This window comes from Homo sapiens, chromosome 8 (genome assembly GCF_000001405.40).
Source record: "Homo sapiens chromosome 8, GRCh38.p14 Primary Assembly".
Lineage (NCBI taxonomy): Eukaryota > Metazoa > Chordata > Mammalia > Primates > Hominidae > Homo > Homo sapiens.
This window is the reverse complement of record NC_000008.11, coordinates 113,240,196-113,258,169: the sequence shown is the minus strand read 5'-3', so window position 1 is coordinate 113,258,169 and position 17,974 is coordinate 113,240,196. Positions and strand designations below refer to the sequence as shown.

Sequence of the window (17,974 nt, the reverse complement as noted above, 5' to 3'; positions counted from 1 at the left end):
TTTAATAGTTATTTTGGTAGAGAAACAAATAAAAGCAACTATTATTCTAACAGCTTTCATGAGGAATTCATATCATTTTTTATTTTGTCATAAACAATTCTTCAGATAGTGACTTACAGATAATAGTGTACTACAGCCAACTCAGATGTGGTCAAAAGAACAAATTGTGCAGTTGACCTTTTTTTCCAGCTGCATTCAGAGTTTTCATCTTAGTACCTTGAAATCAAGTATGTTGGCAGTGTTACTTTACATAAATCAGCAAATTAAAAAAAATTTTTTTCTTAGTGTGTTATTTTTTTCAAATTCCAGTATGTTTATAAAGACTCATGTTTCACTAAACAGTGTATTTGTTGAAGTTGATGTGAGCAATTTATGTTTCTACACTTGATACAGTGTGAGATGCTTTAATTTGCCACAGTAGAATGGCTGGATATTTAGCTGACTCATTGCAGAAAGTTATTATCTAATTTCCTGATGTTGAGTATGAAAAGAGTTAGACATTGTACATACATCAATGTTTTGCAAATATTTCAAATTTCTCCTTTGAGAAAGTATTTTACTCCTTTCTCCTTTCCTATAAAGGATATTACAAAGGATACTAATGAACACCAGATGAATAGATAGATTAGACAAGGGATGAGGGAAAGGGTACAGAGCTTCCAGAGCATCTCTGGGTTTGCCACTCTTGAGGAAACTTCATGTGTTCAGGTATGCAGAAGCTCCGGCAGTTTTGTCATTTTTATTTATTTATTTGTTTTTGAGACAGAGTCTTGCCCTGTTGCCCAGGCTGGAGTGCAGTGGTGCCATCTTGGCTCACTGCAAACTCCGCCTCCTGGGTTCACGCCATTCTCCTGCCTCAGCCTTCCATGTAGCTGGGACTACAGGCACCTGCCACCATGCCTGGCTAATTTTTTTGAATTTTTTTAGTAGGGAGGTGGTTTCACCATGTTAGCCAGGAAGGTCTTGATCTCCTGACCACGTGATCCGCCCGCCTCGGCCTCCCAAAGTGCTGGGATTACAGGCATGAGCCACTGCGCCCGGCCCGTTTTGTTTTTATTTATTCTTTTCCAGAGAGCCAGTTGTTAAACACTTAACCAGCCCATGGTAGTAGATAGAGGCTGATTGAAACTAAGGTCTCATTCTGTACACCCTGCACTCCTTCCTCTATTAACATTCATGTAAATCAGGGCTTTCCAGACTTCAGTGTTTATAAGAACTATCTGGTAATCTGGCTAAACTGCTGATTCTTATTTTACACATCTGGAGTGGGGCTCAGGAGCCTGCATTTCTACGTAATCTAATATGATACCAATCTTTCCATCCTACACACTACAAACCACTTAATGCAAAATCTTGTATATTTTGCTTAAAACTTGCAATGTCTGTTTGGTCATCATGTTATTCCAAAGTATCATCACTAAGACATATTTTGGTGGCTTCAGTAAAAGTTGTAATTGTTGCAGCCAAACTATCCTACTCCTCCTTAAGTAGGATGGATTAATTTGATGCCAGTTATTTTTTACAGTTAGAAATAGAAATCTGCTCTAAATGAGGTTTCTGCACTCCACTCATCAGCTTCACTTTTTGTTGTTAGGAAATACATTCTTGACAATTGTAAAGTTATGCAATATTTCCAATTGTTTACTTCTGAAGAAACTCAGTTATAACTTTTCCTAGTGAGCACATTGTAAAATGACTGAGTCTACTATGCCAGCTTCAATTGTAATGATTCCTTTAGTTAATTTGGCAGTGGCCATTAGGTCTTAATCTGGGGAATAAGGAATGGTGTCGGTGCTGAGCATGTATTTCTTTGTACTTAAATTATTACAAGTCCAAATCTTTTAATATGAATTTTTAAAATGTATCTTAAGTGTTTTATATATTTTAAAGAAAACAAACAGCTTAGATTTGAACTATATTATCTAATGACTTCTTAATGGGCATGGACTTGTTTTATAAATATGATATTTATCAACACAACCAGAGATTAATTTCATAATCTTAAGATTAAATTTTTACATTTGCTTTTTTTTTCTTTCTGCTGTTGCTTCTCATGAAATCTCTTTGTCCCTGGATTCACTACCAGCATGTAGGATCCTCATGTAGCACATTTCTCTTCATTTGAGTAAATGCATCTTCTGATATATGTACTTACTATAGAAAATTGTAAGTATTTTCATTCATGTTAGACAAAGAATTGGAGGCTTAAATAATGACACAGTCTATGTATAATTACTTTATTTCTCCTTTAATTTGTTATTGACACTGTAAAATAATAGCAAAAGTATAAAATCAAGGGATGTAAAACGGTTCACTGTTAATTTATAAACTAATTACTATATATTATTATAGTTAAATATTATAGGAAATACACTTAGAGACAAACAGTAGATATGAACACTTTTTAAAAATTATAATATCAGTATATTTTCAGATTCAAAATCTAAGTAGTTTCAATATTTTATGGATGTGTAATATGTTCTGTTTTTTATTTGTTGGCACCCTTTATTAGCAGGATTGAACATTGTACTTCTAATATTATTCATCACCATAAAGTAACAATTCAAGGCTAATACACAGTGAGGATAATTGTTTTAGTTGGTGATCAGGGTAGTACAACTCAGAGTTGCAACATTTCAGCTTATGATAAATCAAATATACTCAAATATAAAACTGAAAAAAGCATTGTTTTGTCATTATTTTTCTATAAAATTTTGTATTTTTAACTCCTCATAGTTGTCATGATGTGCTTATAGAAATATCATCAGATATGCTCCTTTTAATTTTCAGTACAGCAAAAGTTTTCATTTTATAATTTTAATACAAAACTAAACAAACAACTTAAAAACAAGGAAAGAATCGGAGATCCAAAAATGAGGGCAGTCTTTATTATATGTAAGTAACAGAGCTGGCATCCAAAACCTAGTCTCAATGTCTAGTTTTACTTTTTCAATATGTATTGAAGAACTTAAACATCCAATTTTATATTTAGATAGTCTAAGGTAATATTATTGTTTATTATTTGGAGCACTAAAAACTATATCATGTCTCTTGTCCAATAAATCTTGGTACTTCCATTTAAATGCGTGAACGTATGTGAATTGAGAAATAAGAAATGCTTGTCCTTGCCTTTTCAGCATTGTCCTCCATTCTTTTACTTGCTTTCTAGAATCTAACCTTTTTTAAGTACTCATTATTTTCCAAATGTATTAGTATAATACTTTCACCCAATTGTTATAATAAATTTTTGTTGAATATCTACTTAGATAAATAACTGAATGAATGCCAAGTGTGATTCATGATGACCTTAATATAGTGTGTTTCTGGAAAATAAATATAATCTAAATTGTTGGAATTAAAAAAATAATTAAAAGTTTCAGATAAAACAGAATTTCCAGAATTTCCAACAATTTTTATTTTTATATACTTCATTTAAAAAGAAATTAGAAAGTTGTCTCCATTTTAGGCATATACAACTTCATTTATGTCTCTCCTTCTTTGACAGATGATGGACTCCATTACTTAATATTGTAAGACCTAAATCCACACTTAAAACTCATAGTAGAATTTAATAGCCTTAGACTAGCTTAAGGAGGTGATGGCTGATTTACATACATTCCAAAGATTTGTTGGACCATGTGTGCCTTACATAATGGGCAAAGAAGCTGGCCTCCCTACCCTAATCTTTTATTATGCAGATGGGTTCTATACCTGGCCAGTACCATGCTGTCTGTTCCTTACTGTGCATGTGGTTGACAAAGGAAAGGAAAGATGGAGCCTCCATGCTGAACACGCCTGGACCCTGGTTAGCCTTTTCCTGTTGGCATAGCTGCTGACATTCAATCATGCACGCTTCCAGCTTATCTGTATCTGTAGCTCAATTTTTTAGGCTGCTTTCTGTTAACAAAGAAATGATTTCACAGCTGATTTTCATTAGAAGGGAAACCTTACCAAGGACTCTCTTATCCTCACTAACTGCCTAAATTTCTTTTTTGCTTCTGTATCACAGACACGTTGAAAATGTACAGCATGACATTGAGAAAATTATAGACACTCAGATCAGACGGAGGATACTAAAAATATTTTTGTGTTCTAAATAGTGATGTCAATTTGGATGTTTGCAGGTCTAGATTGGTAAATAACATGGAAAGACATAGTATCTAATTGTAGAGGAACAGGTCATGTCAGGCACAGGGAAAAATTGAAGTGGAATGTTATATCTGGAAGAAAAATCTTGTAACTACATGTTAGGATAAGATATAGTACTGGCACATAAACTGTCACAGCGAGGACATAAGTTTCATTTCTTTTCTTTTCTTTTTTTTTTTTTTTCAGACGGAGTCTCACTCTGTCACCAGACTGCAGTGCAGTGGCACGATCTCGGGTCACTGCAACCTCCAACTCCCTAGTTCAAGTGATTCTCCTGCCTCAGCCTCCCAAGTAGCTGGGCTTACAGCACACATCACCATGCCCAGCTAATTTTTGTGTTTTTAGTATAGACGGGGTTTCACTATGTTGGCCAGGATGGTCTTGATCTCTTGACCTCGTTATCTGCCCGCCTCGGCCTACCAAAGTGCTGGGATTACAAGCGTGAGCCACCACGCCCAGCCAAGTTTTGGTTCCTTGTAGGAGTTGAATGAAGTGGAGGGATGCTATAGCAGAAAGAAAAATTGGCAGAATTCAGAAAGAAAAAAAAAACAGTTTTAAATTTAAAAAGTCAATTTGTAATGAGAACATTTGGACACAGGAAGGGGAACATCACACACCGGGGCCTGTCGTGGGGTGGGGAGAGGAGGGAGGGATAGCATTAGGAGATACACCTAATGTAAATGACGAGTTAATGGGTGCAGCACACCAACATGGCACATGTATGCATATGTAACAAACCTGCACATTGTGCACATGTATCCTAGAACTTAAAGATTAAAAAAAAAAGTCAGTTTTTTTTTGTCAGCTAACTTGTCCTGATGTCCCCAGCCAATCCCTGTAGATAGGGAAACTGAACTATCTTGGGTACTGTCCAGGATCAATCTCAGTCCTGGTTTGGGAAATGTGGGATTGCATGGATTTAGCTCTTATCTGGATTCTGTGCTTTTCTTTTAGTTTTAAATTTATATTATTGATCTGTGCTCTGGTTCTGAGAACTGAGTTTCTGTTCTACTGAGTGGAGAAATTCTGTCCTGTACCTAGTCTTATCTCCTTAAGCCGAACACTCGTGTTCTTACGCCCTCATTCTTAAATAATGCCTTTTCTAGTGTCTGTTTACCTCTCAGCATTGATTCTTTGCAATGTGGGGCTTCCATAATATCTTGATGTGATCTAGAGATCTAGTGTCAAATGCAGATATTGGGCTTTCTTAATTTGGTCCACCCACTACTTATGAAATTCATGTATCCATCTGCAGAATATCTCCATGTGGTATTTATAGTTTTAAACAGCTTAATATTTTAGCAAAAGATGGAGTTTTAAATGTAATAATTTTCTTTCAAAATCTTTTCCCAAGATTTTTAGTTTGATATAAAAAAATTGATTTGTCATAATAGAGAAGGCCATAGAGAGAAGGCAAAAAAACTTGGAAAAATGAAAAAGGTTGTTTCTCTCACTTTGCTCTATGGAGTCTGAGTTAGTTGCAGAGTATCCTATCTGTATCAGAAAGAAAGATATCTGAAAGTTTTCTAAAGGAGAAGATTGAAGAAAACGGTAAAAAAAAATACATAAAATTTGAAAGAATTAAAGAAGACTATGTTGACATTCATATAGCATTTTTTGCCCCAGTGAATTACAACTTCACATGCACTTTAAAAAAAATTGGACAATTTTTAAGCCTCTGTGGATCATCATTTGTTATAGATGATAGATAGTATCATCTCTTAGGAATGACAATAGCTGTGAAAACCAATGTTCCAGACATTGGTTTATAGTTTATGAGTATTTATTCCATCAGGGAGAAATTGGAGATTATTGATTTTGACATGTAGAGAGAGAGAAGGGAAGATCACTAACAGATAAAAGATTCATAAATAGTAGAAGACTTGCTGAGAAATCAGGAGTATTCTCTAGAAAGATGAACAGATTTTTTAAGGAAATTTTTCTCTCAAGTATAATAGCAGCAGTATGAAAAATATAAAAAGTAAATTACACTTATGGTATCTGTGAAAATTTTAACTGTAACATTTGAGCATAATAGGTGCTGGTTAGACATCAAATTTTATCTGAAGAAGTATTTGCTGACTGTACCCAAATTAATTTATGTATACACTTTTAAAATTCATGGGATTTCTAAGAAAGTATACAATTTACTTTTTAATTTTTGTATAAAAACATAAAAACTCTGTCAAGTGAATCAGAAAAGTGTTAGATCATGGAGAATTCAGGTCACTAAAGCTAAGGTTATTTTCACCTTTTAATTTTCCTGGCAGGTCTCTGGCTCAAGGGTCAAAAACTTACATGTAACATTAGTGTGTTTAAATTAATGCTCCCAATATATCCTAGCAATTTCTATAAGGGAAGTATTTTTGGTTACCAGATTAAAGTTATTTAAACTAGTATTTAGATAATGGATTTTTTAACTTACAGCTAAACAATAGAAATCCCAAAGTAAATCAAGATTTAAGGATTTTTTTTTTACTTTTAGTGATTACAAGTAAGACATTTTTTATGTCTTAATAAGGAAGGTGATATTAACTTTAATAGTATATCCCCCATGCTTTCTTTAAAAAAGAATAAATTAAAATTAAGGAGAAAAATCTCTGTGTCTCATCATTTTCCTTGGACTTCAGAATTTTAGTTGTGCGATCAGTATGAGATTTAGGTCACAGTCTGTTAACAGAGGCCTAGAGCATTAATTTCATTTGAATCCACTCTTAAATTTACTTTCATGTATGAAATTCTTTGTGCTTCCTACTGTTTCTCTCTGTTTCTCCATTATCATGAATGAGACATTGATAATCAATGAGCTAGTGACTCCGGTTATTAAAAAATGATGAATTATCCAAATATGGGTTTATAAATATGCTTAGCTTCATAAAATGGGAGGCATGTCTAATTCATTATTGATTACTATTCACATTTTGCACATAGTAGATACTGAATAACTTGTAAAGAATAAAGTATGTAAAAGCTCTGTATTTACTCTTCATGTACTCATTTTTAAACTTTTTTTTTCCTTTTTAGCTTAATTTCTACCTAGTAACCCTTCTGCAAGGCAATTTTCACATCCACTTAAACTTCTGTAATTTACACTTTATTTATTTTTTGAATGCCCAATTCTATTCATAAATATGGCTGTCTTCCGCGCTGGCTAGAAACCAGTCTCTTAATTTCTGCTGTGACGCTGTGAGCAACAGTCACTCTTCTATTGGTTTTTAACCCCAGTAAACAAGCCCATTAAATTCTGTAATATTTGAGAGATCTATTTTAACACTATTATGTTCCTCATCTACTGAATCCAATCAATTATGTCTACCTACTAACAAGCTTTTGAATGTATACTCTACATTTTGACCATATTTAATCCATCAGACACAAGATTGTCTGTTTGGCCCCATCTCCTTCCATCCTGTTCCATACACACAATCTCTTTTCTTTTAAATCCAAACTCCGCTCTGCATCTAATGGAATCTTTTGAAAATGCAAATCTGTTTCTACAATCAATATTGAAGCATCAATATATTTCCTATTATTTCACGAATAAAACAAAAAATGTTTAAGATGGCCTAGAACCGCCCACAAGGTCTGCTTAGTGTGAAATTATTGTTTTTCCTCCATCTCTCTTTCTTGAGAGAGCTACACTCCCTTCTACATCAGGATGTGTCATTCTCACAAACGCATCTTCAAGAATATAGCCTTCTTTGTTTTTAATGGACTAAATTCTAATAATATGAACTCCTTTATTTGATGAATAGGCAGAAACCAAGTTTGGGAATTCCTCTTCCACCTCCATCACCTGTTGTGGGAAGGCAGATGGGGATGTCAAATAAATGTGTAAAAAAAGATTAGATGTAATTATATCCTATAATTACAATTCTCTTAGATCCCCTGACGCAAATCCTGAAAACTGTTGTTCGTGTCTGTTTTGTTTTCTTCTTTACCCCTGGTAACTTAAAGAGGACATAGAAAAGAACCTGTGATTTGTTGTATTTATTTGTTTATTTATTGAATAAGCAACTTTCTATGTTTATCAACTAACTTCCCTTATATCTTTAAGCTAAATACACACTTCTACAATTAGTCTGTTTCTGTATATTTACATAGATTTATAGAACTGTTCCCCAGTTGGTCATCAGTCCATCTTTCTTATAAACAAGTCTTTAAATTGTTGTTTTTTTTTTTCTTGAATACTATTGCCATAGATTACTTCTTCTTTTTCAGGAAACAAGATTCACAAAGACTTATGGCAAGAGTAGCCACATTAAATATTTAAGGGTACAGGAAAATAATGTAACAATGTAACAGTTTTGGGAGCTCAGAGAATTCACTCAGGACATAAGGCAGTCGAATTTCTTTTTATGCTCTGTCCAACAAAAATATTATATGCCATATTCAAAACACGTACAACCAGATTTACACCACTGAAAATCATGGGTAAGTACTAGTATATATTTATTTACCTTATTTAAATTTGATTTAAAAATAGAAAAATTCACAATAAAAAATTGATTCCTTATAATATGTACAACTGTTGTAACAAATACCTCAAACTCAAGGGGAGGCAAGTAACTACTATCTAAAACTTGTTTCTGGGACCATCTTTCACAATACTACATAAAACATTTCTGGAAGAACGTGGGTCTCAAATGTTTCCATGCCGAATATCCACTGTTCTTAAGCTAAGCTGTCCAAGATTTTACTGTTTTCATAGGTTATAACTGTATTAGTCTGCTCTCACACTGCTAATAAAGACACACTCAAGGCTGGGTAATTTATAAAGGAAAGAGAAAATTGACTCACAGTTCCATATGGCTGGGGAGGCCTCACAGTCATGGCTGAAGGTGAATGAGGAGTAAAGTCATGTCTTACATGGCGGCAGGCAAAAGAGGTTGTGCAGGGGAATTCCCCATATTAAGACCATTAGATCTTGTGAGACTTATTCACTACCTTGAGAACAGTATGAAGGAAACCACCCCCATGACTCATTTATGTCTATCTGGTCCTACCCTTGACACGTGGGGATTATTACAATTCAAAGTGAGATTTGAGTGGGGACACAGCCAAACCATACCAATGACTTAATATATCATATGAATAACATTTTTTTCTAAATAAGATTGTCAGGAAAGTTGACAGTTTCAGCAATCGCCGTTACATTAAAAAAAATTAAGCTGTTTTTAGAAAGTTCAAGTTTCTTGAACATCATACCAGATTTAAAATACTTATGCTTAACAATTTGTTTCCTCCACATGTATATCATATATGTGCAGGAAATAAATTGAATGTGTATTATACGTGTGGTGGAAATAAATTAAATAACTTATTGGAAAAGTCTCATTTAGAATTTGTCATTCTTTGATCTGACCCAGAACTGCTCAGTGGAAAGATCCTATCTCTAGGGCATTTGTCAATAAATAAATAAATACATGGCAATTTATATATAACAATTTATTTCCTCCACATGTGTGTGTATATATATATATGTATATACATATATATATAATATGGAAATATATGTGTGTGTGTATATATATGTATATATACATATATATCACACACACACATATATTTCCATATTATTTCCTCCAAATGTATATTATATATAATAGAATCTCTATAATCTCTATAGTGTATATTATATACTAAAATCTCTATTGTATGTGTTATATACAATAGAGTTTTTAAACACTAAAACAAATTAGCCTTAATTTTAATCTAAGTTACTTTTCTCATATTTGAAAAATGGTACACGTAAGATAGGTAAATTATGCTTCATCTCTATTTTTAACCATTGTATTCAACACTCTTACTAACGAGAGCCAGTTCAGAAGAACAATTTATGCTTCATTAAATTATCACCACTCATAAAATACCCCACATTTTCAAAAAGTCAGATACTTCACAAGTCCAGTTGATGTCAGTGGAATAAATTTGATTCCTGACATTTTGTTCTATGAATTTCTTGAGAGTCAGATGCAGTGTGGTCCCTTCATAAATGTTTTTCTAAACTTCTTTAAAAGTATGGTTCTGCCTTATTTGTTGACTTAATCTTCTATTTTCAAATACATGCAAAAGATAATATGACCTAGCTCACGAAAACTCCAGTCATTTGCAAGTGTAGAAATTTTGTTATCTGTTTTATTATATGTCAGTTACATCAGTGATCATTAATATAAGCTACTGTAACACTCCCCCTTAAATATTGATTTAATTAAGTTATATTAATAACAGAAGGTATATTCATAATATGCATTGCTTAAGAATCTGTTATTGCTAAGCAGTTTAAGAATCTGTCTTTAAACTGGAAGGTAACAATTAATTCTATGTAGTAACTTTGAAATTTATGACAACCAAATCAAGACATTATGAATAAATGGTACTTACAGAAATCTACTCCTCATAAAGGCAACATGAACACTGGCAAAAATTGTCAAAATTCATTTTTTCAGATCTCTGAAAATTAATGACTTTCAACAATCTGGTGTGTTTATTCACAAAAAGTGATTAAATCTCAGTGGTTGATAATTTAAGAACACTAAACATTGTGATGAATTAACTTGCCCTACTTTCTGGACCTATAGTACCCTTGAAAACTATTAGGTGCACAACCACAGTAGCTGTAAAACACTGCAAGGGGAAGACAAGCTTTGAAGCTCATCAAAAAGGCCCATCCTCAGAGAATTGTCACTATTTTATCTGTCTGACAACTTCTTGGAAAAGTCTCATATACCAAGTTGGTCATTCTTTGACCTGAGCCAGAACTGCTCAGTGGGAAGATCCTTATCTCCAGGGCATTTGTCAATAAATAAATAAGTGTTAGTTGTTTAACATAGTGGCTGCCTGAGGCATTGATACTGGTTGGAACAAACAAGAGACTAGTCAAAAGACAGCTCCTGTGGAGAATGAGATAGACATAGGAAACTTTGAAAGCCTTTGACATAATCCTACAGACATAAGAAAGTGCACACATGTGCAAAGTGTGTACATGCCCAGAGAATACCTTAGAAAACTCCAAACCCTTACTACTTCTGGTCCTCCACCAGCAGGAAGTGAAGCTAAGGCAGAGTCTGACATTGCTGGAGCATTGCATGTGTATCCCAGCACACAAACAAACCTCTCCAGCAAAGTATCTAAGATTTACTGGTTCAAGGAATTTAAATAAATCTCCGTTCAATCTTAGTCAAGCACTGAGATAATTAAGCAGACTTAATTGACCACATGCATCAGGGAAGAGTGACTTTTAGAATTAAACTGAACAAATAAATGGCAAACACCACAACAAACAGTGACAAGAAGCCCTTGGGGGAAGGGACACTAATTCTCAGACAAAACATGCTACATTTGTAAAATAATTTTACCTAGTTCTCAACTGCAAGTTATAATGGAAATAAACAGGAAACTATGGCCCATAATAGGAAAAAAGTAGTTAATAGAAATTATATCCAAATTACAGATATTGGACTTACTAGACAAAGACTTTAAATAAGTTTTAAATATGCTCAAAGAACTAAAGGAAATTATATCTAAAGAATTAAGTGGAAGAACGAGAATGATTGCACACTGAATATTAGATAACAATAAAAAGATATACATTTAAAAAAGAACCACATAGAAATTCTAGAGTTGAAAAGTATAACAACTAAAATAAAAAATTTGCTAGATGAGATTAACAGAAGGTTTGAGTTGGCAGTAAAAAGTATCAGTAAACATACAAATGGGTCAATTGAGATTATTCATTGTGAAACTTGAAAGACAAAAGATTGAATAGAACCTCAGAGACTTGTGGTACACAATAAAGTGTATTAACATGGACCATAACGGGACTCTATGATGAAGAAGAGGAGAGAGAAAAGATAAAAAAAATAGAAATAATAAGAAAAAATAACTTTCTGAATTCTATTAAGAATCTTAATCTATAAATTCAAGTAAGATAAACTCAAGGAGACAAGCAGATAAATTACAAATTATCAAAAGTCTAAAAGAGAGAAACTTGAAAGCAGTAAAAGAAAAACAACTAATCACACATAAGGGATCTTCAATAAGATAAAGAGAGGTTTCTTATGGAGGTTAAAAGTGGTGGTATGCCATTTCCAAAGGGTTGAAAGACTGTCAACCAAGAATTTATAGTAGCAAACAATATTTTAAAAATAAAGAATAAATTAATACATTTCCAGGTATGCCAAAACTGAGAGAATTTATCACCAGCAGATCTTTCTCACAGAAATATCTAGGAAAATCCTTCAGATTGAAAGGAAATGACATTAGACAGTAACTCAAGTCCAAACAAAGAAATAGAGAACAGTAAATGTAACTACATCAGGAAATGTAAAATACAGTATAAATAAATGTAATTTAACTTGTAAAATATTCTGTCTGATTTTAAAAACAACTGCATAAAGCATTAATTAAGAAACTCTGTTAATGGGCATATAATGTATGAAGAGGTCATTTATATTACAATAACAGCAGAAAGGGGGTTGGAGAAGATGGCATATATTAAAGTTTTTTATATATTACTGAAAATAAATTGGTATTAATTCAAGATAAATTATTTTAAATGCATGTGTTTTAATCTACAGGATAAGCTCTAAGAGAATAACTCAATATAAAGTAAAATAAAAAAGAAATTAAAATGATATAATAGGACATATATTTAATACAATACAAAACAGTAGTGGAATACTAGGGGAACAAAATGATTTAAAACATATAAAGATATATAAAAATGGCATACACATGCTAACTAATAGGTACTTACATTGAACATAAATTAATTAAACACTCCAACATTTCAATCAAGAGGCAAACATTGGCCGAATGTACGTTTAAAATGACCCAACTCTATACCATCCAAAAGAGACACTTTTATTTCAAATACATAAATAAGCTGAAAAAACTATATATGCCATGCCAACAGTAACAAGTGGCTATACTAATATTAGACTTAATAAGCTTTAAGACGATAACTGTTTGAATTGTCAAAGAGGGACATTTTCTAATGATAAAAGATACAGTGATTGTAAACATGCATGTACCTAACAACAGAGACTAAAACTACAAATAGCAAAAATTGACATAAATGAAAGGTAACAGGAACAATATAACAAAATTAGTTGGTGAATTCAACACCTCATATTTAATAATGAATAGAACAACAAGGCAAAATATGAATGAGAAAATAGAAGACTTGAATAAAATAATAAGCAAATTAGACTTCATATATTCACAGAACACTCCACTCAAAAACACAAGAAAAAAACCAGTCCAGATATAAACCCTTATATTTATGGTCAAAACAACTCAATGAAGAAAAATTTATCATTTTCCACATGTTGCTGGTATAACTGAATATTCACATGGCAAAGAATGAAGTTTGATTACTGCTGACACCATAAAAAATTAATGTAGGCCAGGCGCGGTGGCTCACACCTGTAATCCCAACACTTTGGGAGTCTGAGGCAGGCGGATCATGAGGTCAGGAGTTTGAGACCAGCCTGACTAACATGGTGAAACCCCGTCTCTACTAAAAATACAAAAATTAGTCAGGCGTGGTGACACATGCCTGTAATCCCAGCTACTCAGGAGGCTGAGGCAGGAAAATCACTTGAACCCAGGTGGCAGAGGTAGCAGTGAGCAAAGATCACGCCACTGCACTCCAGCCTGGGCAACAGCATGAGACTCCGTCTCAAACAAAACAAAACAAAAAATGTAAACCATATCATAGACTTAAATGTAAGATTAAAATTACAAAACTCATAATGAAAAGGTCATATATATCCTTGACTTTGCATTAGGCGATGATTTATTTGTTGTGATACCAAAAGCACAAGGAATTAGTAAAAGTTGAAATTTGAATTTCATCAGAGTTAAAAACATTTGTGCTACAAAGAATACCAAAAAGAAAGTGAAAATACAATCCATAGAAATGGAGAAAATATTTTCAAATTGTGTATTGGAGAAGATACATAATTTGAAAGATAGATACAAATCTATACTATACAAGACTAGAGATAGATACAAGTCTATACTATAATGAAGAATGCTTACAACCGAAAAATAAAATTACAAATAAATCAGTTTAAATATGGGCAAAGTTTTCAATACCCATTCTACAAAAAAGATATTAAAATAACCAATAAGCACATAAACATGTTCAACATCATTAGTTATGGGGAAAATACAAATCAAAACCACAATGAGACTACTTCACACCCAGTAGTTGGTTAAATCAAGAAGATACACAATAGTAAGTGTTGACAAGGATTGGAGAAATTGGAATCCTTGTGCATTGCTTATGGATATGTAAGCTGTTGTAGCCACTTTGGAAAACAGTTTGACAGTTACTCAAAAAGTTAAACACAGAGTTACCATATAATCTAGCAATTCTAGTCATAGGTATATATTCAAATAAATTGAAAACAGGGATACAAACAAAAACTTGTACATGATGGCTCCTCATAGCACTATTTAGTAAATAGTCAAAATGTGGAAACAAGATGAATATCAATCAACTGATGACTGGATTAAAAATAAATTGACATATTTATATAATGCAGTATTATTTAGCAATCAAAAAGAACACCACACTGATACTTGCTACAACATGCACGAACCTTGAAAACCTGAAAACAGAAGACTACAATCTATATTTTAAAATAAAATATACTGATGAAAATAAATAAAATATTTCTGAAATTAGATAGCAGTGACATTTCCCTTAATGTACCAACAGTCACTGAATTGTGTGTTTTAAAAGGGCAAAGTTTAGTACATCTCAATGAAGACATTCTTTTTTAAAGAAAGAATGTGTGGATAAATAATTTTACACCAAATGCAGTTTTTTTCTTTCAGTTTTAAGTGGAGCTTAATATATATTTCATAAATATTATTTCTTGTATTAATAGAGATGAAGAAATATGCAAATGAAATTAAAAACAAAGAAAATCAAAAGATACAAGTTAAAATTGCTTTAATAACTTCAAATTTATGCAGAACTATTGTCAGGTTTTACCAATTTCTCTTTTATTTATTTGTGCTAGAGTATCATAACTTTAAATAGGCTGTGAAAATTCCTGGCACTTTTTTTAAATTTATAGAAAGCCAGAAACCTTTACATTCATTTTTCCTGAAAATTATATTGTAGCTAGTAAGTTAGTAAATATTAATTGAGAATCGTGAGAACTTTACCTATATTTTAGGTATATTCAATGTCTTCCCCATTTTTGAATTTAATAAAGAAAAATATACTTCAAGCACAGTAGGATTTCACACCTTGGAATAAAGAAAACATATACATGTTAACATTTCATGTTTAAAAATTGCATACTTGAAGTGCATTTCTTTGTTACCAAAAATCAATTAATTTCTATTAAAAAATAAAAAGGATCTTTAAGTCCATTCTGTTACCAAAGGATGAGTTTTCACAATAAAGAATTTTTTGTTCATGACAAAGCAGAAGCGGACTGCAGTTTGATGATGATCTAATCACTTGTCTTTACAATGGGGTTAGCAATAATATATGATTTTCAGATTGGTGAACTTTAGTCATTCTGGCCACTGCCCACAACAATTTTAGTCTATTATTGTGAGTAGTTGTGTGTTATCATTTAAGTCACAAACATGGTCCAGAATTGACCTATTAGGTTGCAATAAGTTGAAAACATTAAATGGCTTCTCAGTCTCTAAGTTGATATCTGACAGCATTTAGAATAACCAAAAAAGCTCCTCTTTATTGTATTAATATTTTATTCTGTTCATTAAGGTAAAATGTACATGAGTAGGTATATGTGCCTAAGAATCAAGACTAGCTCTAAAATATTGTACTTCTTTAGATCCAAGTACCATACAATTTTTTGTTTTATTGGCATTCATCATTTAGTTTTCATAATTGTTCCTTATTAAATTTTTTAATAATGTATTTTCATTTTAATTTTATAAGACATTACTCGACCTTGGGAAAAAGTCAAACTATTTTATGTTTAAAATATAATGCTATTAATATTCTTAGTAAAATATGTATATATGTATATAGATATAAAACCTGTCTAAAATTGTGTGTGTATATATATATATAGTAATTTTTTATATAAACAGTTTTCTTGCACACCAAATATAGCATTCAGTGCACATCAGGACCTATCATGGACAAAAAGGCAGCTCTTTTCTGGTGTCAGTATGGATGTTTTTCTGAAAAAGTCAGTGATGTGTGTCAGAGGACAAGATAGAATCTTCCCACTCAAATTTTATTTTTCTTTTTGGAGTGACATTTCATTCCTTGGAATTTCTAATACATAATACTTTAGGTGTTACCTCTATTACTGAGAGATTTTAAAGTGTTTTCTTTTCTGAAAAACTATACTTCCACACTGCCATTTTGCAACTAAGTCTTTTGTACTGAGACATTCTTTTTTTTTTTTCAGCAAAAAATACAGGCATCCAAATACATAGAATTTACAAATAGCATTTGAAGAACTCATCAGGATGATTATATATTAGATATATGATCTAGTGTTCAATATAATGTTTTTTTCTGAACATTTAAGATTCTACCAATTCATTTTGTGAAAAGATATTTGTGATGAAATAGATCAACGTAGGCATAGCTATTGTTATTTCTCTCTTATCTTTTCAGGGACCCACTGCTAGGTGCCTTAAATATGTATCAGGTATGAATCTCCTTCCATAATCACAGGCGTGAATGGAACATAACATTTTTTCTGCTGTTGTTGCCATTGATACAGCAAAAACTACATTTATTTTCTCTATTCATATTTTCTCTAGGTTTTGCAGAGGATGAACATAGTCCCCATAATTTTTCTTCTTGTTATTCTTATTTGAGATTAGAAATGTCCCAGCATTTTAGAATATTTCTTACATTATTCTAGTCATCTGCCCTAGAAGCCTGAAAGGCAATACAAAGTACTTGAATAAAGAAAAGAGAAAAGTGGGAATAAGTGGCAAAAAAAGCAAAACAATATCAGCTAATATCTTGATAATATGTTTCTACCATATTTATTATCCAACTTGTTCCCGTAATAATCCCTTATTATATTTCTTATTATCCCCAGTATCCAGTGTAAGACATACAGACTTGAAGAAATTGAAACTGAGTTACTCACTGGAAGCCAGAAAGAAAGAGAGAAACTAATCCCAAATAAATAGTACAAATTTTATCTTACTACAGAGCACCTGCTTTTTGTAATTCACATGTCATTTTTCTTTGGAAGAATAATTTGGAAGTGAAAAGCTATTTCTTTGAAGTGAGATTATACCTCATCAGATTACCTGTTCATGTTGCAATATATGGACAAATAAATGAGGTTACATTTGATACAGATATTCAAATATAGGAATTTGGTTTAATAATACAACCATATGACATACAATTTTACAGGTAATTAGCAGAAACAAGATAAACATATGGGTTTTCTTTTGTGAAACTATATTAATTACTGATGCAGAAACTTAGAAGTTGTCATAGAAAGTTTACACTATAACCAATCTTAGCCTAGTGAGGTTGTGGATAAAAAGGAATACTTACATACTTTCGGTAGGAGTGTAAATTAGTTAAGCCACTGTGGAAGACAATGGGACAATTCCTCAGAGCCCTAGAGACAGAAATGCTATTTGACCTGGCAATCTCATCACTGGGTATATACCCAAAGGAAAAGAAATTGTTCTATTATAAAGATACATGCACATGTATGTTCATTGCAGCACTGTTCACAACAGCAAAGACATGGAATCAACCTAAATGCTCATCAATGATGGACTGGACAAAGAAAATGTGGTACATGTACACCATGGAATACTATGAAGCAATAAA

At 32.3% G+C, this 17,974-nt stretch overlaps 1 protein-coding gene and 1 long non-coding RNA gene across 10 annotated transcripts in view; both read left to right on the top strand.

Annotated features, from left to right (window-relative positions):
* The window catches only part of CSMD3 (CUB and Sushi multiple domains 3), a 1,214,012-nt gene that overhangs the window by 178,770 nt on the left and 1,017,268 nt on the right, over positions 1-17,974 (top strand). The window lies entirely within an intron of this gene.
* Positions 1,981-17,326, top strand: LOC107986966 (uncharacterized). Its single transcript, XR_001746034.2, has 3 exons — positions 1,981-2,166; positions 8,371-8,583; positions 17,217-17,326. It is a non-coding gene; the product is annotated as an uncharacterized LOC107986966 (long non-coding RNA).